Source organism: Homo sapiens, chromosome 4 (genome assembly GCF_000001405.40).
Source record: "Homo sapiens chromosome 4, GRCh38.p14 Primary Assembly".
In the NCBI taxonomy this organism is placed as follows: domain Eukaryota; kingdom Metazoa; phylum Chordata; class Mammalia; order Primates; family Hominidae; genus Homo; species Homo sapiens.
In genome coordinates, this window is record NC_000004.12 from 182,592,066 (window position 1) to 182,618,066 (window position 26,001).

The following is a 26,001-nucleotide window of genomic DNA, read 5'->3' on the forward strand; positions in this document are numbered from 1 at the left end:
GGTAATTTACTGTTTTCAGTGTCATAAAAATGTTGAATTTATAATACCACCTTTCTTTTCTTCTTTTTTTTTTTTTTTTTACATCTGCAACAGATTTATTTTTAAAGGAATGGATTATAATACCACCTTTCTAATAGCTCCTGAAATGTAACCAGATCAGGGAAGTGTTGTTACCTGAAGTTACCTAACTTTAGAAAATCAAGGAGAAGCAGTTTCTGGAAAGCCACAGAGTTAGTCGATAATGAAATAAGAGATTAAGCTACACCAAGGATTAGATTGGTATTTTCAAAATCAAAAACCAACTCTCGTTTTGTCCTTGTACACTTGGAAGATCCACCTGAGGCTCTGGCCACTGTAGTTAAAATTCACATGATGGAGCCGGGCATGGTGGCCCACACCTGTAATCCTAGCGCTTTGGGAGGCCAAGGTGGGTGGATCACCTGAGGTGAGGAGTTCAAGACCAACCAGGCCAGCATGGTGAAACCCCGTTTCTACTAAAAATATAAAAAATTCACTGGGCGTGTTGGCGCACGCCTGTAATCTCAACTACTTGGGAGGCTGAGGCAGGAGAATCACTTGACGGAGGTTGCAGTGAGCTGAGATTGTGCCACTGCACTCCAGCCTGGGCCACAGAGCAAGACTGTGTCAAAAAAAAAATCATATGATAGTAAAATATACAAAAACAAAAAGTTTTATACAATTTGTTTTGATGACTTGTTTTTAAGAAAGAGGTCAATTTTGAAGAAGACTTAAGTTTTGTTTGAGACGAGAGAAAGTAAAGATATAGCCAGGAAGTGAGGTGAAAACGAATTTTAGGACACAGAAATGAAGACTTTAATTCCATCCTTTGCAAATCATCCATAAATATGTTTGGCTTCTTTTAAATGTTCGTCAAGTTCAACAATTGAAAAGGAACTGACAGAATTTGGTTTAGTATCTTTAGGGTCATCCTTTGAGCATTAGAAGAAATAATCAAAGACTGAATCTAAATCTTCACATTCTCTTTTTGTCTTTGAGAGTCCAGTGTACTTTCTGTTTTAGGCAATGTGGCAACCTAGATTACCTGACAACTCCCTTGCTATATAAAACAATATGTGTATCATATTGCAAGCTCTTAAGAGGGCTAAGGCCAGAGGGTTTTCATTTATTCCACTTGCTATCATTATTATTCAGGAGTAAGGAAGCCACATGCTGATGAATGAATACCCAGGAGGTGTTTTGTGTAACGGTGCTTCTCAGATTCTCTCACAGTTTTGTGAAATTAAAACTGTTTCTGTCTCTCTGTCTGTCTGTCTGTCTCCCTCCACCTCCACCCAGTTTCTGCCTGTCCCTCTCTGTCCTTTCTTCTTCCGTCCCTCCATCTTCCTTTCTCCATCCCTTCCTGACTCCATTTGTCTTTTGATGACTGACTTTACTCAAACTACTCGTATTCTGAAGCAGCACAGCTGTCCGCCCTTAGCTTCTATCTCCCTTCCAGATTAGGGTATTTGTTCCCTGGGGACGTGTGTAGCCAGGCCACATGGAGATCCAGGGAAGGAGGGGAAGGAGAACAGGGTGAAGGAAGTGGGTGGGACAGAGCAGTTGGAGTCGCTGCAGTGACACCTTTCCAACTGTGCACACCTGCTGAAAGCGAATGCCAGCCCACTCTCCTCCTTTCCTCTCATCTCACACTCACCTTTTACTTCCTCCCACATGAACCGAGCACACACATACAAATGCAGACATATACTCACACCAAGATATTTTCATCTCACAGCAGGTATTATTTTCTTCCCCAGTTTTCCTGTCTCAAAGTCCATTTCCACTCTGCTCCCTGAAGACCACAGCCCAAGGCTGTAAACCAGGGAGGAGCTGGAGCTGAGTTGCACATGGCAGCCTGGGAGCTGCCAGCAGTAGCTTTTAGTCTTAAAAAAAAAAAAAAGAAGCCAGCAAATAAGCCCAGATATGCATTGTTTTGTTTTGTTTCTTCTTGGCATGATCCTGTGGCCATACTAGCTAGGAAAAGGTGACTAGGCCGAACTTCATGACTATGAGATCAAATTCCTTCCTGTGTGAGAACTGGCAAGAGGTTAGTTTGTTTTCTGTTCTTATGACATTTCCTTTTTGCATATTTTTGATTTTTATTTTTTTTAGAGGCAGGGTCTTGCTGTGTTGCTCAATCTGGTCTGGACTCACACAATCTTCCTGCCTCAACCTCCCCAAGTGATAGGATTACAGGCGTGAACCACTGAGCCTGGCCCTATGACATTTCTGATCGTAATTTTTCTACCTGTTAAAGCAAACACTTTTTTGTCTCTACAAAAAATTTAAAAATTAGCTGGGCATGGTGGCACACATCTGTCCCAGGTACTCAGGAAGCTGAGGCAGGAGGACCAGTTGAGCCCAGAAGTCTGAAGCTGTGGTGAGCTCTGATCACACCACTGCACTTCAGCCTGGGCAACACAGCAAGACCTGTCTCTAAATAAATCAATAAAGTGAACACATTTCCTCTCCAGGCGTATTTGCTTGTGTGTTCTCACTTCTGGTGATGGTGCTATTAGTTGCTGACAAGGCTTTTCTGTTACTTTGTTTTTCCTCATGATGTTCTGCCCTTTATTTCTTCCCTGTTTTTTGTTTTGGTGTGTGTGTGTGTGTGTGTGTGTGTGTGTGTGTGTGTGTGTGTGTGTTTTCCCGAGATGGAGTCTTGCTCTGTTACCCAGACTGGAGTGCAGTGGCGTGATCTCAGCTCACTGCAACCTCCGCCTCCTGGGTTCATGCAATTCTCCTGCCTCAGCCTCCCAAGTAGCTAGGATTACAGGCACGTGCCACCGCGCCCAGCTAATTTTTGTATTCAGTAGAGGTGGGGTTTCACCATGTTGGCCAGGCTGGTCTCGAACTCCTGACCTCATGATCTGCCCACCTCAGCCTCCCAAAGTGTTGGGATTACAGGTGTAAGCCAGTGCACCCAGTCTCTTCCCTGTTCTTGGCACTTAACTTTTATGTCAGGCACTGTGTGTTTTTAGCTCCTTTAAACAAGCACTATCAAATAAGTGAGGCTCAGAGAGATTAAGTAATTTATGCAAGAAAATATCCCACGGAAAGTAAATATGCCATATTCATTGTCATGTGTCTCAATGGCGCCTCTCACCATGCTGATTCATAATAACAGAGTTGCTATCTAGGGAAAGTCACCAGCAGTTTTTCTTCTTCTCCATGCAGAGTTCCATGAATAGGCCTTACATTTGCTTGGAACTGGGGGCCGGTAAGCTGCTTACACTGTAATCTACCCTGTATCCAATAGCTCGTAGCATTTTCCTGGTATAATAGTCAACATACTTTATTCAGTGTACACCATGATCCAGGTTCTTAACCCATGCCAGCAGGTCTAACATGGGAACAGAATGCCTTAAGTGACGCTGTTGAAGAGCTAAGGGAGGAGCAGGGTGACCGCAGTCTTTATTATCTAATCTCTATGATTAATGTGAGTTTTAAAAAACATCTGATATTAATTTCATTCAACATAGTGAATAAAAACATGCAACTGTTAGGCTTTCATTGAAGTTATATGAGCAGTGGGACCTTGATAAAGGAAAGGCACGTGGAAAGAAAGAGTAAATTTAATAAAGACGCTGTTTGGGTATGATGCATAATTTCTCATAACCATGGTACCGAGAATTTAATTTTCAGAAAGATAGAGAGGAATATTTTGAAAAAATAATTGATACCTTTTCTAAAATATCTAAGAGCATTGCTAATCATAAGCTTTAAAATATTAATAAAAGGAAAACATACTGTGTTTGGTAAAATATAATTTATAATAATTTTTAAATATTATTTTATAGCTTTCATTTTATATATTATATATTTTATATGATCTTTATATTATTCACATATCTTTAAAGGTAGATTTTAAATATCAGAACATTTTCAAAGAAATATTCCTAAACTCCAGTCTTTGGGGTGAGTGGCATGGTTCCTTGCTTGAATGAGATGACCCCACAAGGTGCTATTATATAAATGTCATCAATCAATCAGCACATTTTTGGGAGTCCTTGAAGTACGTGCTTAGTGAAAGTACCAGAAGATCCAAAAAAATTTGAGTTAGAATCCTTGCCTTTCAGGATCTAAGAGTTAAGTTGGGGAAATACAACATATTTGCAAATTACCTTATAGTTAAAGGCAGTATGGACAAGCTCAACTTTTTACTACTTCCACACTCTCTCATTGAATTCTTCACAAATAGTCATTCATTCAACAAGTATTTATTGAGTGTCTGCCCTTGTGAGGTCCATAGAGCTCAAAGGTGAATCGCATGTGAATCCTGCCCGTAGGGAGCTGAGCAGGGGACATGAGCCCTACAACCTTAACTCTAGCACAGAGGGGAATGCGAATAGAGCCATGAAAAAGGGACAGATACAATAAGGTGACTCCGAAGAAAGATCAATGATTTTTACCTGGAGAAAACAGAGGTGGCATCACCTTTTTTAGATCTTAAAGTAATTTGGATTTGGAGATAGAAAGATGGAGGAAAATGTCTTTCCAGAGAGAAGCAACTCTGCCTAAGTAGAAAGGTGTAAGGCATGGAGTGGCTACAGCAAGCGTGGCTAGAGCAAGGAATATGCGAAGAGGACACACGAGGGAGAGCTTGCAAAAATATATTTTGGGGTATCTGTGACCAAATATAACATTCACCTTTAGAGTTCATTTCAAGTTTGATAGGCACTAGAAAGCCATTTGGAGTTTTCTAGGAGTAAATCGACATGTTCAGAGGTATGTTGCAGTAACATTAAACCTGGTGACTATGTGAGGTCTGATTGTCCCATCTGTAACTCACTCAAAGTCATTATATCCAGAACTTTTTTATCAATCTGTGTATCAGTGAATTTGTCTAAAGTGAAAGGCTGCAGTGGCTGTTCTGGTTGTTCTTGTGCGGATCTGCCCAGCTGTGTTAGATCCTTAAACACTTTTATAGTCTCCAAGTCTAGACCCTGTCCTTTTTCCTTGTGTCCATTTTGAACCTTGGTCACAAAGATTTCCCTGGGTATTCAATTGTTCTTTATGCAAAGACTTAAAAAGAGCCAGGTACAGATCCTCACACCTGCAGTCTCAGTACTTTGGGAGGCCTCCGCGGGAGGATCGCTTGAGCCCAGGAGTTCAAGACTGGCCTGGGCAACATAGGGAAACCCCATCTCGACAAAATTATATTTTAAAAAAATTAGCCGGGCGTGGTGGCACATGCCTGTAGTTTCAGCTACTTGAGAGGCTGAGGCAGGAGGATCACTTGAGCATGGGAGGTAGACGCTGCAGTGAGCTGTAGTCATACCACTGCACTCCAGCCCAGAGAACAGAGCAAGACCTTGTCTCAGAGGAAGAAAAAAACAAACTTAAAAAGAAATGTTATCTCTATTTTCAGTAACAGAAATAAAATGAAAAATAGTAATGTTTTTCATAAGCAACCTTTCGATCTTAAAAATACTCTAAATCATGCAACTGATTATGTTTCCCTCTTTGTGCTGGCAAGTAGATTATTTAAAGCCAGATTTGTGTTCCTCTTTAAAAATGTATAGTACTATACAGTAGGTATTTTGTCCACTAACCTTAAATCTGGCTTTATCTTATGTTTCACACTTTTATTTTTCTTGTATTCTATCTTTATTTTTGGCAGTGTTGTACTTTATCTTGTTACACTTTATATACTGATTCTATCTTGAGTAAATTGGTACGGATAAATACATGCTCCAGCCACTTCTCATGTTTTGTAAGCCCAAATCTGTAGAGCTAGCATTGACCCTAACTGAATCCCCGGATTTTGCTCCTGTTTGTGGTCTGGTGCAGAATTTAAATTTCTGTCCAGGCCAGGCACAGTGGCTCATGCCTGTAATCCCAGCACCTTCAGAGGCCAAGGCTGGAGGCTCACTTGAGCTCTGGAGTTCGAGACCAGTCTGGGCAACATAGTGAGACCTTGTCTCTACAAAAAATTTAAAAATTAGCCAGTGAGGTGGCTCATGCCTGTGATCCCAGCTACTCAGGAGGCTGAGGTGGGATTGATTTTCTTGAGTCCGGGAGGTCAAGGCTGCAGTGAGCTGTGATTGTGCCACTGCACCCCAGCCTGGGCAACAGAGCGAGACCCTGTCTCAAAAAACAATTAAAAAAATTTTTTTTAAATTTCCGGCCATCCACCCTATATCATTCAGACTTTGCATGTATTCTGTTCCACCAAATTTTAGATTGAACCTAGCTTTCATCAGCTGGATTTGTTTTATTGGTAGGCCTCCTGATTGTGTTGTCAATTCAAGAGGTTCCAGTAAACAGCACACTGCTGCACTAGCCTGGGCAGACCATTGGCAAGAGCATGGATCCTCGTGTGGTGTCTTGTACGCTGTAAGTTCTCAGCAGACACTTACAAAATGAAGACGTGTACCTAAGGAAAGCAGCAGCTGCTTATTTTTGAAACCTTAATGGAAGTTTTCCCAATGGTTACGTTTTTATTTAGGAATAAGAATTCTAAATTCAACATATTGAAACATGATGATAATGGATCTTAAAATCATTTCTCTTTCAGTAACAGTGTTCTTGTCCATAATGCTTTATTTTACCATTTACACAGAGCTTTCATCCGTGACTGACGTAGCAGATTCCTGGAATATCAAGTCTAGAAAATGTACTTGGGATGAATGGCTAAGTGTGTGATGAATAAATGAATGAGTGGGTGCATTTCACTGAATCCTTACAATTGCACTAAGACCTGGATGGGGCAATAGTATTTCTCACATTACAGGTGAGAAAACTGAGGCTTACTATCATGATGTCTGACAGAATCAGGACTTAAATTTGTTACTATGACTTGTAATATTCTGCTCTTCACATAGTATAATATCTAACATAATTTCTTCTCTATAATATAATATTCTTTCATGGCATCATGGAGTCATCTGACCCATACCACTGCTTCTTTTTAGGCAAAGTCTTGTTACTTTTTCCTTGGAAACATTTCTCCCTGTTCTCTCTTTGTTTCTATTCTGTTGACACCAACCTAGTCTAGGCCCTCATAACTATAGCTTGTTTAGTCATGCTATCAGCAATTTCTTGAAATGTACCTTAAAGACATCCATAGAGATTCTAGTCACATACACTGATGCTCTAATAAATTATATGAAACCTGAATAATAAATCTTTCATGAATTTTAAACTGTTAGTTTCTCTTTTTCTAACACAATGACAACTGTATGTGCCATTTCCTCAAAAGCGTATTTCAGTCTGAGATTTAGACAATCATAATTTTTCATGAACACCAAAGCAATAAACCAAGAAGGATTCCTGCAGTTTCTGGTATGGGAAATTTCAAGAAGACAGAGTTTCTATTTTTGAAGTTCCCCCATATCAGAAACTGCAAGGAAGTAGCGATATTTTCATATATTTAGGTATTATCTCTATCCCTCATTACAAGAGTGAGAAATTATTCATTGTTAAATTATATGATATGGAATATTAGGGATCATTAGAAACATGTAATATTACTGATGTTATATGCTATGAGAGGAGTTATTTTTATCATTGTACCCTGTAAAGAGGTTTGATAATATATATTAAAACAATTACATATTATGTATTCATTTCATGCAAACTGAATTACAATGTTAAACTGTGCTATTTGGCTTAACAATCACTGCTGGAGTTCACATCGTAGATGGAAGCTAGTACTTGTGTTTCCTATTCTTTGTTAATATGTGCATTTATATTAATAGCATGATTTAATACATCACTTTAAAATTATACTGCATTTTGAACTGCATTTAGTCCAAAATTGACATCTTATGTGTGTGGAACCATATCAGTTTAGCATTAAATTAAAGAGTCATCTATCTGTTTGGTAAAATGTAGTCTTCGTAAATTCTAGCACATCCAAAGCTAGGTAATGAGATGGAAAGTAGGTCTCAGATGTTACATTAATTTGTGAATTTTAACTTATGACGTATTAGCTTTACGGAATTTTCTAGCAGTTACAACACAGCATTCAAAACACAGTATTTATGTTTTGAAGTTGTCAGACTCTTTATGATTCTGGTTTAAAACAAAAATATTTGTATCACTGACATAGTGGCATGAGCCTATCTGGTCACCTATGACTTACTTCAGAATGTAGTTACACTGCTTACTGTGAAATTGGAAAATCTGTTCTGTGTGTGTTCTAATGGATGTGACGGTCATTAAGTATATGAGTCTTCTGACGTTGTAATCAGATGTGATTCAGTCTGTTAAGTACCCATGAAACAACATCTGCTTCACAGAGTGACCTTCTGCTAAAGAATACTTAGCATCTATTAGTAGATCATAGTGCAGATCTGCCTTATTTGAAATGCACTAAACAAGAGTAGTCTACTGCTGTTTAGCAACTAGCTTGTAATAATTTATTGCAGTTAAATAAAGCTTAAAAAAACTCCATTAAATAATTATAGGGATTATATGCATTTTGAAAACCTTTGTGTTCTACTGAAATTACCCATTTAATTTCAGGGTTGGTTTGTTAAAAAAAGCTGAAATCTGAAGGCACATTAGAGGAGCTGTCAGATGCTGTTTTCTGTAGGTGTTAATAAAACCAGATGAAAAAAAAATCTGAAACAAATTAAAACCAAAAGCAATTTTGCCATCTGTTGTGTATTAATTAGAACTTTGTGTATCAAGGGTAAACTTGCTCTTAGAGAATGTCACTGAACACCCACTTAATAGAATAATATGCAAATTTATTAGGTTATGGATTTATATGCAGTTTTTAATTCTAATTCATCTGCAGTGGATCCCCAAGAAATTGGTAGTGTGTATATACATATATATATATATAATGAGTTCTCTTTCTTTTTTTTTTTTTTTTTTTTTTTCAGAGCAACCTGCAAGCAATCAAGGCCAGTCTACCCTGCAGCCCTTGCCGCCTTCCCATAAGCAGCACTCTGCACAGCATCATCCATCCATCACTTCTCTCAACAGAAACTCCCTGACCAATAGAAGGAACCAGAGTCCGGCCCCGCCGGCTGCTTTGCCCGCCGAGCTGCAAACCACACCCGAGTCCGTCCAGCTGCAGGACAGCTGGGTCCTTGGCAGTAATGTACCACTGGAAAGCAGGTAACATCTAAAATTTCAAAATAAGCTAGCCCAACCCTTTTCTCACCAGGAGCAATTTACTATACTTACATATTCTGGTGTGGTGTTTTGGGGTTTTGTTGTTGTTGTGTTTTCTTTTTTCTTCTCTAAGAAGCAGTTCCAGATTGTTGTGATTTTTTTAGTTGCTGGGTCAGTGAATGTGCCTATTCTTTTCACACAGTTTGTTGCCTACAAGAGATGAGAATAAATTACTTCAGTGAAACTTTCCCTTACCACTGTTTGTTTTTTTCTTATCTACAAATTATCAGGCATGTGGAGAAAAGGACAGAGATGTAAAATGTTATTCTCAGTTGCATGTAGTTTGATTCAGTGGACATGTCTGGCATCTTCTTGGTTCTAGACCTCTGTACTTTCTCAGACTATATTTTGTTCATTACATCATATATTCATAGTGGAGCCCCACTATGAATATAACACTTAAGCACAAATCAGATGACAGTTTGTTAAGGATATTGTAGTTTCTTGCAGTATGAGGGAGATAGGACCTACTCTCTAAAGTTCCTTGCAGGATTATTTCCTAAGACAATCCATTCATCCTGACACAGTTCTATTAGGAAGTTTTTCCCTACAATGAACTGAAATCTCCATCCCTGAAACTTCCATCCTCTGACTGTAACCGTACAACTAGTAGTCTGCAACTATACAAAACAATTTTGCCCTGATTCATACATGATGGCCCATGAGCTTCTCAGTCTTCTAGAGGCTTCAGCAGTTTAATGGTCCTTCTCTGTACACATAGCATAGTGTTTCATTAAGGTTCAAAGTTAGGACTTCTCGCAAAGGCTGGCTGACAAGTGGTAAACTGCTCATACAAAAGTATGATCAGCGAAAGCTGTTTTGAGCTAATCCATTTCATTATTCAGGATCTCCTGGCATATAAAATTTCGCCTTCTTTCTTTGGACAGGAGCGTAACAGTCACTGTCTCCTTGTAATTATGTATTGCACAACCAACAGTGGTGTCTTACCTTATTGGTCTTCTGTTGGCAGCTTTGCGGGGAGGTTCCCCCAACATTCCTCTTATTCTTTATTTCTTCTCTGCCCCAGGGTTTCCGTTAGGCTTGGAGAAAAAGAGTTATCACCATAGAAAAGCCAGAAAATAGAGAGCTCTTGACGCCTTGAGAGACTGTCCCCCAAAATGTCCTGCCCTAGAGCTTCCGGTTAACATTAGGATTTAAATTAGCTTCTGGGTGAACAAAGTGTCTCACAATGAATACATTGCTATTTCTCACCATTAGGTATATGGTCTCAACCCATTCTGCCTTGAGGATGAGCTAGCAGGAGGTCCCCACAGTTAGTTGTCAACAATGAAAGTCTTTCTGTGTTTTCTTTTACTCTTGACCTAAGAACAAGGTTCTAAAGAACTCTTATCTTTTTATCCATATCAGCCACGAGTAGTTGAGTTTTATTGTTTATTTTGTATTATTGAACATTCTTCTGGGAGAAATTAGGAAGAGAAAGAACAGGAAAAATAGGCAAACAGCAGATTTCTCTTCACTTAAGACACAGTCATGTATACGGATTTTTTTTTCCTGAGGTTATTAGCACAGACGTAAATTTACCCAGTGTAATTAATTAGCACACACTGAACAGCTAATCAACACCGATTCACTATTGTCATTTGGAAAAAATTTATTAGGAAAAAAGTAATTTTCCAGTTGAGTCATCAGATTGAATATGGATATTACATTGTAGTTGACAATAATTGTTTTGACAAATATTTATGAAATATGTCAAATTAAATCCTCAGAAACGTGTTTAATTTTAGTGATGTTATAAAACACAAAAGCCTCAAAAACTGTCAGTAGGAGAGTTAGCATTCCGTGAAACCATGTCTTCCAGTGAATTTGGAATAATTTTGAGAAGAGTAAGATGCGTTCTTGTTATTCGTCTTATTGCACTGGAAATTTTGATTGATGAGACTTTAAAGAAAGAAAGTAGTTGGTTAGAAGAAAATCCACTGTAGCCATATGTGAAATTGTAGCTGGTTTCTCTATATTCAGACCATATAAGAAATCACTCCCATGGTGAGTAGTTACTGAGATTTTCTTCCATTTCAAAGTAATGCCATTAATGAATCATCAATGGAATTAATATTATACAGTTTTATGAGTTTCAGGGAGGAAATCAACCGCTGATATGATCTCACTAATAAATATACAGAATAATTAATCTAAAAATTTGTTGTTACACTAACAAATTTTAATCTGCAGTATAGTTTTGTTGTTTTCTCGTTATCCAAAGTTCACATCTTACAGTGTCGCTAATCAAAAGAAATGATATTTCAACTTGCAGTACTCAGTGAGTGAAGCTAAGCAGTGATGTGAAAATCTCACACTGTACCGACACAGTACTACTGTGGTTTCTTTAATAGTCTCACTTGGTTGGAACTCTGGAGGTGAAGAACCAGTCTTATTTATCATTGATTTTTCCTTCTTTTAGTTAAGGTTCCCTATTGAGTATGATTCTCAGACTCAGTTTCAGCTATATTAACAACTTTATCCAGACTTGTGTCTGCCTTTAACTATTTTTTAATCTAGTGTATTGTTTCATCTTTGGCAATTATTTATATATATATATATATATACACACACACACCGATTTTGCTAATTCTCACTTTTTCTGAAACTGCCACTTAAAGGTTATAAGCTATGAAGTTTAAAATTCAGTTACGAATAAATAAGAATCTCTATATTTTTCTCTTAGTTCCTCCCCCTTTTCTCTTTTCAGCACAAATTGATAGTAATTGGTTACAAAATGGCATGTAATAACCCTTGAAAATCTCAGTGATTTGTAGACTTACAGTTTATGTGAATTGCTGGAAAAGGCATAAAAGGATTTTCTACTTTGTCCTATATGTTTCAGTATAGCTATCATTTTGATTTATTCAAAAGCATTCTTTTTCACCAGGCAGTTTCTTGCTTCCATAAAAATGTTTATTTCCTTTCTCTAATGAATTTAACATTTGCTCCTGCTGGAGACAATCAATGTGACTGTGTACTGTACATTCCCACTCAGTGAATAGAATACTTCTGGTCTATAATCTCCAGTGACTTTCAGATCTCCTAGAGTCACACTGAGATCCAAAAATGCCTTTGCAGTTCATAAGCATCTCCTTATTATGTCATCATTTCCTATTAACAATCGGTCCCTATGTATAATACCAAGTGCTTGCTTACAATTTTCCTGAAAATTCCTTTTCTTTGAGCTCACTATTTGTTATACTTTGGATTATTCACTTTTAGGGCATTGGAGAGCCTATAGCTTGCCCTTTGTTTATTTTATACTTCAGCTGCTTCAGTATGTAATAATAGCTGCTACAAGAATACAGAGCAGCTGAGCAAACGCTTAGAATTGGCCCAGTACAGCAGCAGCACTTAAAGGTATGGTACAGTAACTCTCATTGAGAAGCCTTGTCCTTCAGCAACTGTAAAGTTAATTGCCTGCAAGTTCCTCATTTATATACGTGAATTAAACAGCTTAGTAGTTACCTATTAGATGTTAACAAAACGGTTCATTTGTAGCCATTTAATAAAAGATTTATTAAAGTCTTGTTTTATTATGAAGCCTACTTTGGCATGGATAGTTCATTAGTTATGTTCCCATAGCTTTTTACCTTCTAGTTCAGTAATGCTTTGCTAATTATTAATGTATGAAATTGCATATTAAATTGCCTCTTTATTAGTGCATTTTTTATTTCAATATTGAGATGTCTTGAGCCGCATTAATGTGAGATCAATTGTTAACGTCGTTAAAAAAACAGAATACCTAAACAGAGATATTGTTTACTAAACTAAGATATGATACTTTTTTCTCTTTTTATCTTCTTTAAAATGGTTGTAGGGAAGGTAAAAACAGTCATACACACACCGGGTCTGAGTCAGCCTTGCTGACGTGTGTCTGCATCCTATATGGGGTAGCTTTCCTGCCCCAGAGGAAACCTTTCCCAGCTGAAGAATTAACCTCCACCCACTTACTGATAACTAATAAACTACCATTAGTGAGGTAGTAAGTAGTGGAATCCTCCGTAATTAAAGATACAACTTCAAGTAAAATATGCCTGGGAAGGTAGCTCGATGACTAAGGTTGACTGACTGATGCTGATGCCATATGCTTTTGTTAAAGACAGCTTGGGGAGACACAGGGTACCTGTGGGGAAAAGGAATATTACTGAATATGGAAAAGAGGTCCAAAAATGAAGAACCTAAGGTTACTTAACAAAAATTTCAAAATTGGACCTGGGCCAATGGTAGGAAATTCTTAAAGTTTCACCATCATCATTTATTTAAAAAAAAAAAAAAAAGGGAAAGTCAACTTAAATTATATACTAATGAATAGTAAAAAATCACTTGGATTCTAAGTCTCTTAAAATATGGCACCTTTTATAACTTAGTATTTCTTAAGAGGACTAGGAAGGGATATTGTTTATTTGTGAGAATGGGAAGAAACATGAAGAGGGAGATATAAAGTTCAAGAATTTGCTGTGTGCTGTTAATATTTAAGGCCTATTTCAAGCCCTGGCTAAAAAAACCTTTGTCTCAGAGAGAGGAGGATAATTGAGGAAGCTATTGTAAGCTTAATTCAGTGCCTAAGCTCTGTGGTGACCATATAGTTCATTACTAAAGCCAGGACACTTGCAGAGTGAGAAGGGGCCATATCAACAGTTACCCTGGAATTGCAGCATAAACTGATAGCTGTACCAGGCAAAGAGGGACGTGTGATTACCACACTAAGTTTTATTTCCAAGAGTAAAGTTAATTTTAAGTCCAAATTTTCTTATGCCTTAGATAAATAAGAATAAGAAATCAAACGAGAAAGGCAGGTTGAATGCAGGTAAGGCTCCAGACTTGAACATTTCTAATAGTTTCTATTGCTAACTTAGAGCAAATATTTAAACTTTTATTGACCCCCTTCGCAGAAAAAGCTTCTATTGGCCTCCAAAATATGTAGCTCCTAAAATAATACTTAAAATATTTGTCTTAATTTTCTTCTCAGAGTTTCAAGAGAACACTTATCACAATATCAAGAGAACAAGAGGTAGCAGGCCGGGCGTGGTGGCTCACGCCTGTAATCCCAGCACTTTGGGAGGCCGAGGCGGGTGGATCACCTGAGGTCAGGAGTTTGAGACCAGCCTGGCCAACATGGTGAAACCCCGTCTCTACGAAAAATACAAAAATTAGCCAGGCGGGGTGGTGGGCACCTGTAATCTCAGCTACTTGGCAGGCTGAGGTGAGAGAATCTCTTGAACCCGGGAGGCAGTGGTTGCAGTGAGCCAAGATCTCACCACTGCACTCCAGCCTGGGCGACAGAGGGAGACTCTGTCTCAAAAAAAAAAAAAAAAAAAAAAAAAGGTAGCGTATATAAAATATGGTCCTGAATTTACTCAAAGAATAAACATCTCTGTGTCTCCAGCAGCATTACAGTTTGGGTTTCCAAAACCATTCTCTCAGGCTGAAGTAGAGGCTTCATTCTAGGAAAGTTTGAGATAAAGTTTCAAAGATGGTTATTAAGATAAGTGAGAGTAAAAGCCCTATTTTTTAATGTGAGATTATTATTAACCACTTGTAATGCTGTAGCCTCAACTTGATTGTTTAGTGGGCGTCACGCCAATAATTAAAATGTGAAAGAAGGTTCTAGACCAATAGCAGCTCTCAAATGAAGGTCATTCTCAGGAGTCAGTATTGATATATATTCTAATTAAAACCTGGTGGATATAGTAGGGATACAAATCACAGTTTAGCGTCATGAGAAAAGCATATGCTTTAGAGACCTGGTTTGTAATCCTGCATCCACCATTTTCACTAACTATTTAAATGTGAGGTCACATATTTAAATGTGAAGTCAGTTTCCAATGCAATAATAATACCTACTCAAAATGATTTATAAGTGTGAAATGAAATAAAGTAAGTGGAGCACGTGGCACATGCTAGGTGTTCCGTAAATGTTTTTAAAATAATTACCAAATGGTAATAGCAGCCATTGTGAAGGGCACCTCATTGGTTAATACCTTTCATCATAAAGTAGCTCTCATCTCTCCAAACAATAAGAAAAGCATTTGTCTTAACTGAGATATTTTTGTCTAATTTATCTTTATGTGTTAGGTAGGCTAAACATGAAATTAAACCATGGTTAATTTTACTAGATTAAAATCTCTTAGTTTTCTCACTCTTCCCGTCGCTTAACAAAAAGTAGGTGGATTTTTGTAGGTAGGAACGCCCAGACTGTTAATTTTGTTCTTGAGAAGAAAAAAAATCTTCAAATAATAATGAAAGGCAACTATTCATATCCTTGAAACATTTAATTAACTAAAGTAATAAATGTTTGGAATGAATCAATAAAAGCCTTCATAGATGCATTGTCTTCACATCACTCAGAAGTGAGACCCCAGTTTTATTTAAGGTATTGAACGCTTTAGAGTCTTTTGTGCATGATAAAAGTACTGTACAATAGAGTGGGAGTGTTATTTTGTTTAATTGGAGTGAACCAGTTTCTTTTTAATAGCAATTAAGACACCAAGAAAGTATGCATTAATCATTTGCTATAGTCCTTAAGTGATATTGAAAGCGTAATTTCAATAAATTGCAGATACTGTATATTCTGATAATGTTTGGCTTTGGATAACCGTAATCTATATAAAATGTTCACACATGATCATCTTAATTTTCATGGTACCTGTAGAAATGAATTGTTAATTACTTCTAACACATTTTGAATCACACTTTTTTGAACGTGAACAGTGTAAAAGGTAATCTGTGCCTTTACTCTGGTCCTAGTCAGTGATTGCGATTAAGCCATTATCTTCATCTGAAAATGACCTGTCATTCTCAAGCACTTCTCTTCCTCTCGAGCAACTGTTTTGTGAGGCTTTTTAAAAATACCATTCACTAGTATTGTCTGTAAAAGTATGTCTCAGTCCTCTTTACTTGTGTATGTGTATGTATTTGTACATAAGTATGCATACATATTTTATGTCTACTTGACATCCTTGCTACCTGGTGATTTTATTTTTTCCTGGAATCAAGGTGTATTCAGTTTTTTTAAAGATTGATTGATTGATTGATTGATATTTTTTTGAGACGGGGCCTTGCTCTGTCACTCATGCTAGAGTGCATTGGCACAATCACGGCTCCCAGCAGTCTTGACCTCCCATCTCTGGTTCAAGCAATCCTTCTGCCTCAGCCTCCTGAGTAGCATGGACTACAGGTGTGGCATGGTGCCCAGATAATTTCTTAATATTTAATTATTAGCATTTATTTATTTGTCTACCGGCTGCTTGGCGTTTATTTTCCACGAGGTGCAAGGTGAAAAGTTACAGGTGTCAGGAGAGCTCACGTGCGCTGGGACAGTGAGGAGGGCTGTCTCCTTTTTGGTGTTAGCTGTGTTGATGTAAAAGAGCGCCCTGCTCGTCCGCTTGCTGCAGCCGCCCGGTCTGCAGGGTCCGCGGCGGCGGGGAGGGATTCTGGCGTCCTAGCGCTTCTGCAGGCCCGGGTTTGGGGGTGGCCGCTCAGGTCAGGGCTAGGACCCAGCACTGGCTTTGCTGGACAGGCCATCGGACTGCCTCCTGGGAGGTCCCCAAGCCAGGCCACAGGCGGTCCTGCTGCAGGGGTCCTAGGAGGCCCCGGGTGCTCTGCGGACCATAAAAATACCATGGCCATGAAAGGAGCTCGCCCGCCAGTGACCTGGGTCAGCCAGGGGCTCAGGGGCGGCTTCCCTATGGCACTCGGTGCCGCCGCAGGAGCTGCTGTTGGAAGTGGAACCTACTGTAGGTAGTAGTCGTGGGTGGCCCCAAGCAAGAGGCTGGAGGGACTGGAGGGTATGGCCCATGCTCTTGCTTGCAGGCTGGTGGGACCTCAGTGGCAACTCTTGGGGATGGGACTGGGGACGCTAGGCCAGGAACCATTTGCGGAGGAGCCTGCTGGGAGGCTACTCCATGATGGAAACGTGCACAGATTAATTTTTTAGTTTTTTAAATTTTTGTAGAGACTGGGTCTGCTATGCAGTCTACCCACCTGGGCCTCCCAAAGTGCTGGTATTACAGGCGTGAGCCACCACACCCAGCCTTAATTTTAAAACTGTGTTTTTCTCTGGAATTTCATTCTCTGGTTTCATCACCAATTAATATACACCCTGTCAAAGATAATTGCATATCTTTTTCTGCATTCCTTTATTTTTTCCTGGACAGGCTTTTGCCTACTTTCTTCTCCACTAATTTCAAACCTGAGGTAAAGTCTGTTTTCTATTACACCAGTCTGAGAACTCTTTCTTCTTATACCATAAGATTAAATTCTTGGACATGCAATTAACCAACTAAACTTAATCAATTCTATTTGATAACCCCTCTGATTCTGCTGTAACCTTCTTTGTGCTTTCGTAGCATCTCACTTCATATTCTGAACCACTTGAAATACTGCTACCAGAAATTGTTCCAGTTACATCTCACAGTAATATAATATTGCTACCGTCTGGTCATGGTGTGTGGAAAGAAGCATTGGTTTGGGGATAGGAGGATCTGGATTAAAATCTCAACATCCTACTAGCTGTGTAACCTTGGTCAGGGTAATTACACATTCTTATCTTGTGTTTCCATAAAATGGGATTGTAATACTTCACAACGACTTTATAAGGGTTCCTTAAGATGTCATGTGAAGTACCTAATGCTTCAGTTTCTTTGCTTTTTATTCTTTTCTTAGGCTATGTGTTTAAAGGAAAAATAATTCATTTAATAACTACAAAGGTAAATTGACATCTACCAAGGAAATAAAGATGTGATAAAATGCAGTGACAGCTACCAAGAACTTACATGTTAATTAATTTTTGTGACAATTAGGTAGCTTTTTACCTTTGCAGATTTTTTGACAGTAAGAATAATCACTAAATCCTCAACTTAATTGACTTCCTAACAGAGATAAACTATGAAGTAAATATTTAAAAAGAGAATTTGTTTTAGAAAAAACAAATAACTGTGATAATATGTAACAGTGATAATATGGGAAAGAAATTCTCTGAGATAGTGGTGTCTTAGAGATAATTCATAAAATGAAGCCTGAATGCATTCATTCATTTATGCAGGAAATATTGGTTAGTCTTACAGTGTACCAGTATGAAAAACTCAAGAAAGGACCTGCAGATGTTTTGCCTGCTTTTGAGAAAGATAGATTCTATTCCAGAGCAAATTTAAAATCATAAAGATTATCTAATCTGGCCAAGTGTGGTGGCTCATGCCTGTAATCCCAGCACTTTGGGAGGCTGAGGCAGGTGGATCACTTAAGGCCAGGAGTTCAAGGTCACCCTGGGCAGCATGGTGAGACCCCACCTCTGACAAAAAAATAAAAACCTTAACCAGGTTTGGTAGCATGTGCCTATAGCCCTAGCTATTCGGGAAGCTGAAGCAGGAGGATCACTTGAGCTCAGGAGCTCCAGGCTGCAATGAGCTATGATCGCACCACTGTCCTCCAGCCTGGGCAACAAAGTGAGACCCTCTCTCTATTTTTTTCTCCCAAAGAGCTGGGATTATAGGTGTGTGCCACCATGCCCAACTAAAGTTACTTTTTTTTTTTTTTTTTGAGGTAGGGTCTTACTCTGTTTCTCAGGCTGGAATGCAGTGGTATGATCACAGCTCACTACAACCTTGACCTCCTGGGCTCAAGCAATCCTCCCGCCTCAGCCTCCCGAGTAGCTGAGACCATAGGAGCATGTCACCATGCCCAGCTAATTTTTTTTTTTTTTTGGAGAGACAGGGTGTCTCATTATGTTGAACAGGCTGGTCTCAAACTCCTAGGCTCATGTGATGCTCTCACCTCAGCCTCCCAAATTGTTGTGATTATAGGCATGAGCCATCACATCTGGCCTTATCTTCTTTTTAAGGCCCATTGAGATTTAGTAATTGGCCTGAGGTCACATGACTAGTTAGTGGCAATACTCAGCTAGATGACAGGTCTCCAAATATAAGTTCATTACCTTTTCTTCTAGTAATGATCTCCAAAAAATTTTTTATTACATTTGACAGGAAAAAAACAAAACCTCAACCCCCAAATATGTGTATTTATTAAATTTTAAATTAGGCACATGCAGCAATTTACTAAGCTTGTGCCTGTTATCATACACAGATTAAGAATTGAAAGGATGAACTAAAACAATTTTACAGAATTTTATTTTATTTCTACTTATTCATCTAATGATGTATTTAATTATTAAATATATATTTATAATAGTTAAATATAAGTGAACTTTATGTATTAAATACTAATCATACCATATTTTTCAATTCTAACATTTATATAAACATTTGTGTTGAAATTTGGTTAATTTCTCTGATGTCTACTCTGATCATCTGGCAAGCTAATCAGTAGCTATTACATTTTTACATTTTAAGTAAATAAGAACAAAACCCACTAAAATATGAGTTAGCAGACCTTTAAGCAGTTTAGAAAATAAAAAATTGCTATAGATGACATACATTTATTTTGCAGCAAAGTCATATATTGATGGGACTATTTCCAAATGTAAATTTTCAAAATATTCTCTCAGAACTAATAATTTCTTTAGAGAAGCTATACTGTCTTTATCATTCTTGAACACTTCCTCTACTTGGAGGGACAGATTATTAATTTTTTCAAAAATATATTCTTGATAAGATACCTTTGACAGCCACTTGTCACCATTGAACAGGTCAGCAAAATTGAACTCTTCTCCTTTTTGTATATTTAATTCATCTTTAAGGTTAAACTCTTTGGGTATTTTGCTGTGAGATACCTTGTTAACCTTTATGTGGTTAAAAAAGATTTTCAGGCCAGGTGTGGTGGCTCATGCCTGAATTCCCAGCATTTTGGGAGGTCAAGGTGGGCAGATCACCTGAAGTCAGGAGTTTGAGACCAGCCTGGCCAACACGGTGAAACCCCGTCTCTACTAAAAATACAAAAAAAAATTAGCCGGGCGTGGTGGCGGATGCCTGTAATCTGAGCTACAGGGGAGGCTGAGGCAGGGGAATCACTTGAACCTGGGAGGCGGAGGTTGCAATGAGCCAAGATTGCACCACTGCGCTCCAGCCTACGCAACAGAGCGAGACTCGGTCTCAAAAAAAAAAAAAAAAAAATTCAAGACTACACCACAACTCATCGCGAAACATTGTGCAGAATATTGTATTTACTTAAACACACACAGAGTTTCAGCAGAAAGTAAAAGGTGACAGCATCACTGTCAACTCCTCTTCTCCTTTTCTCAGGATCCTCAGGCATTAGAGAACCTTCCAACAGAAAGACTGAGTATAGGTTCCACGATCACCCATGCGTAAAATATTATAAAAGCTTAATATCTTTCTGATTTTTAGACAGGAGAAAAATACAAGTTTGATATGTAATTAAATAGAGTTTGAATACCTTCTTATCTCACTGGTTTGTTTTGCATATGAGTTAAAATGCGTACCTGATATAGAGACTGCGTAAATTTGGAGGCCAGAAAGACCTGGCTTTGCCTGCTCCTTCTAACCTTTGACAAGTTCAGTAAGTCTCAGTTTCCTCTTCTTTAAAAGCAGATTTTATAATACACACAGACACACACACACACACACACACAGTGGGAATTTTGTAAAGTTAAAGTTTGATAATATTTTCTTGGCACATGGCAAATAGTTGTTCAGTAAGCTTCACTGAAGCCCTTTTCACTCTTTGAACTGATTGTTTTCTGCCTTGTTTTGTTTTGTCATCCATTTCTTGTTCACTGTCACATACACATCAGATTAGTGACTTACTAGAATGCCATGAACAACTCTCAACTCTTACCGCCGGAAATTCTTTTATTCTTCATAAACTACTTACAACCACCCCTGAAATTCTTCTCTTGATCTAGCTTATACTTCCTTTCTTGTGTTTATAGAAAGAACTTTAGTGAACAATTCTAAGCATAGATGGCCATCAATAATTAAATGAATTAATAATTAAATAGATGAAGTCTTGTCCAGATAGCACATAGGAATTTTAACATGGTCTTTTTCATTTCCATTTAAATTTTAATATATTTAGTGTATAATAACTGCCAACAATAGGTGTAATTGATATATGAAAACATGTAAGAATATAATACAAGTTTGTACACTTGATGACATGGATTCTTCATTAAAGTAACCAAAATGTGAAACAAAGACTGTAAAGCGATTTTAGTCTTCATAATGGCTAAAAATATTTTTTTGTATATTTAGTCCTGTTGTTCAGTTCTTAACATTCCCAAACAATACTTATAATGGGATTTAGTACTTGGTTGTAGACCTGTCTAAGTTAAAGTAAGTCGTAATAGAAACACTTTGCTTCATATTGTAGTCCTATACTTTTTACATAGCTGTGGTTATGCTTAAATTTTATATAATTCTCCCGTTTACTTAAGACTATGAGAAGTAAGTGTGAAAGATAGTACAGAACTCACAAAAATATATTTCCCCCAATCTTCTTAACACTCTCTAGAATTTTAGCTCCCAATTTTCAGAGCTTGGTTAACACACATAATGCTATACTTACTATGAACATGTTATCATATTCATTGTAATTATAAATGGATACAAAGGCAAATGCCAAAATGTATAATTACTAATATATTGATATTGCACATTTTTATGTAAAATAGTAAAACCAGTTTTTGTCTGAAAGCATATTTTGTGCAATTACTAATAGGTCATATTAATTCAGGTAGCAGCAGTGAAGTGTATCTTGTTTATAAGCTTTGCATTTAAGACACCTTTCTTGCAGGAATCACCTCCTAGTGTGAAAGTTTTCCAAAGATAATAGCACATCAATTCAAAAGTGTAATAGATTTGAGACCACAACATGCTATCAGCATGAAGAAGTAGTTTATCAGTCTCACTAACTCACGGTGTCACAGCTAGAATCATTACATATTTGTTCTTTTGTTTTCCCATCAAAGTACATAGTTTACATTGTAATGTTGGTTGCTTATTTTCTTATTTAAAGTGTTTATTTTTAAAATGCATACCAGAATTAATTTTTGGTAATAATAGAAGAGGCACTTTAGTGGGAATCTAAAATATTTTCTTTTTATAATTGCATAGTATACATAGTATATTACTTCCTATAAAACATTTATCATTAAATGCATAGTATTAATACCTTTATATTAGAAAGAATCAATCCATTTTGAACAAAATGGCCAATTTTTAGAAAATTCACATACATAGACATTTACTTATCTGCCTTTCCTAGAATCATCCTTTTTAAAAGTTAGCAGAAATCCAGTGATTAAAATTCAAGGAAAAATAATGAATTTTAGTTTATTACTGACTTACTATGAGTATGTTTTATTACTTATTACTTCTTAGCTGTGTCTTTTTAATCAAGCCTTGAGACAAGCCTTTTTATTTTTTAAATCCCATTTGCTCATTTTTATTTTTAGTTATAGCTTTTTTGTCAAGTATAAATCTACTGCCAGTGGTCGCTGAAAAAGTTAATTAAAAAACTAGTCCTCCTAGTACTTTTTCCTTTCCTCATACCACTTAATTACTCTTTAAGTTCTCCTGCACACACTCTCGAAAGCATGTTTTAAAATTATTTCTAAAGGTTGAAAGAAAACACTTTCTCTTTAACTCTAACAATGAGAATTCAATGTGGAGTATTTTTTCAATTACACTGGTTTTTTTGCTGCCTCCAACCTCAGTAAGAATTCAGTTTCTTCACGTTGTTTCATAGATCCGAAGCTACCATTGCTGCAGCCTTTTTGAGAGTATGGCAGGGCGTCCACTGCAGCCAGCACTGGGAGCATCATCTTAATTGTCACTACTTTGTCCTCAGCAGTTTCGAAGAAGAGTTAGGGAAAAGGCATGTTTCTCAGAAAAAAAAAAAAAAATACATATATATATATATATATATGTATTTTTTTTTTCTTCTCCAAATAGCAGATACGTAAAGTGAAAAGAGATTAGAGATTATATTTGTGTGTGTGTGTGCTTACACGTTACATTTAAATATTTAGAATTGAGTTTTTCAGAAGAATCTCTGGTAGTAGGTAAAGAGAATGATTAGAAGTAGCTCTTTTTTTAATAGAAATTTTCATACAGGTAATAAGTTGAAACAAGGCTTTTAGAGGAAAAAAGAATATATAAAAACTACCCCAGCCAGAAAGGTTGAGAGTGGAGAACTAGTACTCTCTCTGCGAAGAAATTAATGAAGCATTTTGGGAAGTTGTAAATGCCCAAGGTAAAGTATCAACTAGATTTACACGTGGCTCAGAAATCCAAGTATAGAGTCCCAAGAGAAAAGGAAAGAGAACCCCTTAGCCAAGGTACTTGTGAAATAAGGTGAGTGCTGATGAGTGGTTTTAAAGCAAATGGAAATGTAGATATTATGAAACATAAAGAAGACCCAAAAGGAAATAGATGCTGGTATCTCATTTGGAGATGAAGTAAAAGCCAGTACACACGGTAGATACTTAAAAGTAGCAATGACATTAGCGTAAGGGAACTGATTAGGGAAAACTTAACTAATAGGTGAAGTTGAAAGGGAAGAGTTAAAAAAAGGGGGATGTTGAAAAGTGAAAAAAAAAAAAGAGTGAGATGACATAAAGCAATGAAAAATGTTTAAGCCCTTTGACTCTGAGATCCAATGGATTGAGCGTTGTATAACTCATTTGTTCTAAATTGACTACTCGAAGTAAGCTACCAGCAGTGACTTTCTAAGCAGGAGTCTTGAATTGATTTTCTGATTTGTTATACAGTCTTGAAGGGAGACTTGAAGTTAAACTTAAGCTAAGAAACTGATATCCTAATACCTTACTGCAGTGATTCTCAGAGTGTGGTTCCTGGAGCAGCCCCGTCAGTTGCTGGGGTTTCACCCCAGACCTACTGTTGTAACAAGCCCGCCAGGTTACTCTGATGTAAGCTAAAGTTTGAAACCTACCGCTTTAATGTATGGAATGGTCTCTCAGTTGCATTTCTGCTCATGTTGGTGTTCTGACCCTTTACCACAGCAGTTCACAAGCCCTACCAAAACCGGCGCTTCCTTATCAGTCTTGTTGAACTGTTTTCGTGTAAAAGATAGGTAACTGCGTCCATGTGATCTCATTGTTCAATTACCACCTATGAGTGAGAATATGCGGTGTTTGGTTTTTTGTTCTTGCGATAGTTTACTGAGAATGATGGTCATAGGAAGGGGAATATCACACTCTGGGGACTGTGGTGGGGTGGGGGGAGTGGGGAGGGATAGCATTGGGAGATATACCTAATGCTAGATGACGAGTTAGTGGGTGCAGCGCACCAGCATGGCACATGTGTACATATGTAACTAACCTGCACAATGTGCACATGTACCCTAAAACTTAAAGTATAATAAAAAAAAAAAAAAAAAGGTCAGGAGATCAAGACCATCCTGGCTAACACAGTGAAAAAAAAAAAAAAAAAGATAGGTAACTGCAGAACACCTTTTGCAAGTTTCTGCAGATGCTCGTGTGGGTGGGCTTCTCCCGGAAGATTCCCAGCAGCCTCTGCAGTCTTTCAGTTCAGGAATCTTACAGAGCTTCTGAGGGCCAGCATCCTCGGCTGATGGAGAATTATTTCCAAATAGCTAGGCATTTGAGCAGAGTGAATAATTATGCTAGATATCTCTGGATGTCTATTGAGAATCAGTTGCCAGAAGGTAAGGAAAATAAACAGGAACCCAGCCTTGAGTAAGAACGGGTAATTTTCTATGGGGGCTTTTTCTTTAGTTTTCTGTTTAATAGCTGCCAGAAATTTCCTATTCCTTTCATCATTCTCTAAAGCACATTATTTAAATAAACTATTTTTTCAGCTTTTAATTAGTTTGAACACATTGCTAAATATACATTTCACAGATAATCCAGTTGGCTTTGGAACTTAAAATTCAGAATTTGGTAGTGAAAATCCTAAAGATTATGATAAAAACAGATTTTAAGCATTCACAATGCGTGGGTAATAGTTAATATCATCTTTCAGATACCTTATTTGTTTCAAATACATACTGACAAATATTTTGGGCTGATTCTGTGATATTTAATGAATGCCCAATTAGAGACCACAAGGAATTAAATGAGTAATAATAGGCGTTATGGAAGGTAACACACACTAACAATTCAGTGTTATATATTTTAACAGTACTTTTAAAAATCATCTTATCTTAAAATGAACTCTAGGCAAACCGTCCATTGTCTTGATATCATCAAGTGACTAAAACTATCTTGAACTCAGTAGTTAATTTTAGCCTTCATGTATTTCCAGGTACATTTAATCCACAAGTGTGGGATTCATTTGCTTTAGATCTGAAAATGTCATTTTGGAAAAGTCGTTTGATGTTGAGGAAATCTTGTGAGACCTTTAATAAGCCTCTTAAATCCAGAAAGTTATATTTTGCTGGAAGGAAGAAGAACCTATACCTTAAAATTTCCTCAGCTCTTAAGTGAGAACTTTTGGATATTGAAAAGGTTGTAAATTTGGCCAAACATAGCCAGTCTTTCTTATTGACACATTGTCTTTGAAATCAAAACATCTAATTTGAAGAAAGCAATCTATATTCTAGATTACTTTTTATCGATTTACCTACATGTGTCAGTAGAAAGCAGGACATCAAGGGATTTTATTTAATCAGGTCACTTTTAGTTTAATGTAAATGATTCTCTTTGTCCAAGAAAGAATATAAGAGGAGGAAAGCATCAACATTTCCTATGCAGTAGTGCCTTTGTCCCTATACGATATAATAGATGTTACTACACAAGATAAGTATTTTTCCAGGTGTCTGTATGTCACTAATAAAAGTTTCAACAGTGCCTCAGGGACAGAAGCTGAGCACTAACTACTACACTCTCTTTATCCTAATTATTTGCTTTGTTTGTTAATCTCTAAAAATGTTTTTAACACTATA

General features: G+C 37.4%; 1 protein-coding gene across 31 annotated transcripts in view, besides 1 other annotated feature; it reads left to right on the plus strand.

Annotated features, from left to right (window-relative positions):
- The window catches only part of TENM3 (teneurin transmembrane protein 3), a 1,355,412-nt gene that overhangs the window by 1,144,453 nt on the left and 184,958 nt on the right, over positions 1–26,001 (plus strand). For all 31 annotated transcript variants that reach the window (XM_017008385.2, XM_017008389.2, XM_017008390.2 and 28 more), the window contains one exon: positions 8,859–9,096. In XM_017008385.2, coding sequence (XP_016863874.1) covers positions 8,859–9,096 — 238 coding nt within the window. The remainder of the gene's footprint in view (positions 1–8,858; positions 9,097–26,001) is intronic.
- Positions 1,641–2,141: an enhancer, noted in NCBI's record as "H3K4me1 hESC enhancer chr4:183514859-183515359 (GRCh37/hg19 assembly coordinates)". NCBI's record gives its function as "activates a minimal SCP1, AML or CMV promoter by ChIP-STARR-seq in primed H9 embryonic stem cells {active_cell/tissue: H9 hESC(primed)}" and the evidence as "EXISTENCE:reporter gene assay evidence [ECO:0000049][PMID:30033119]".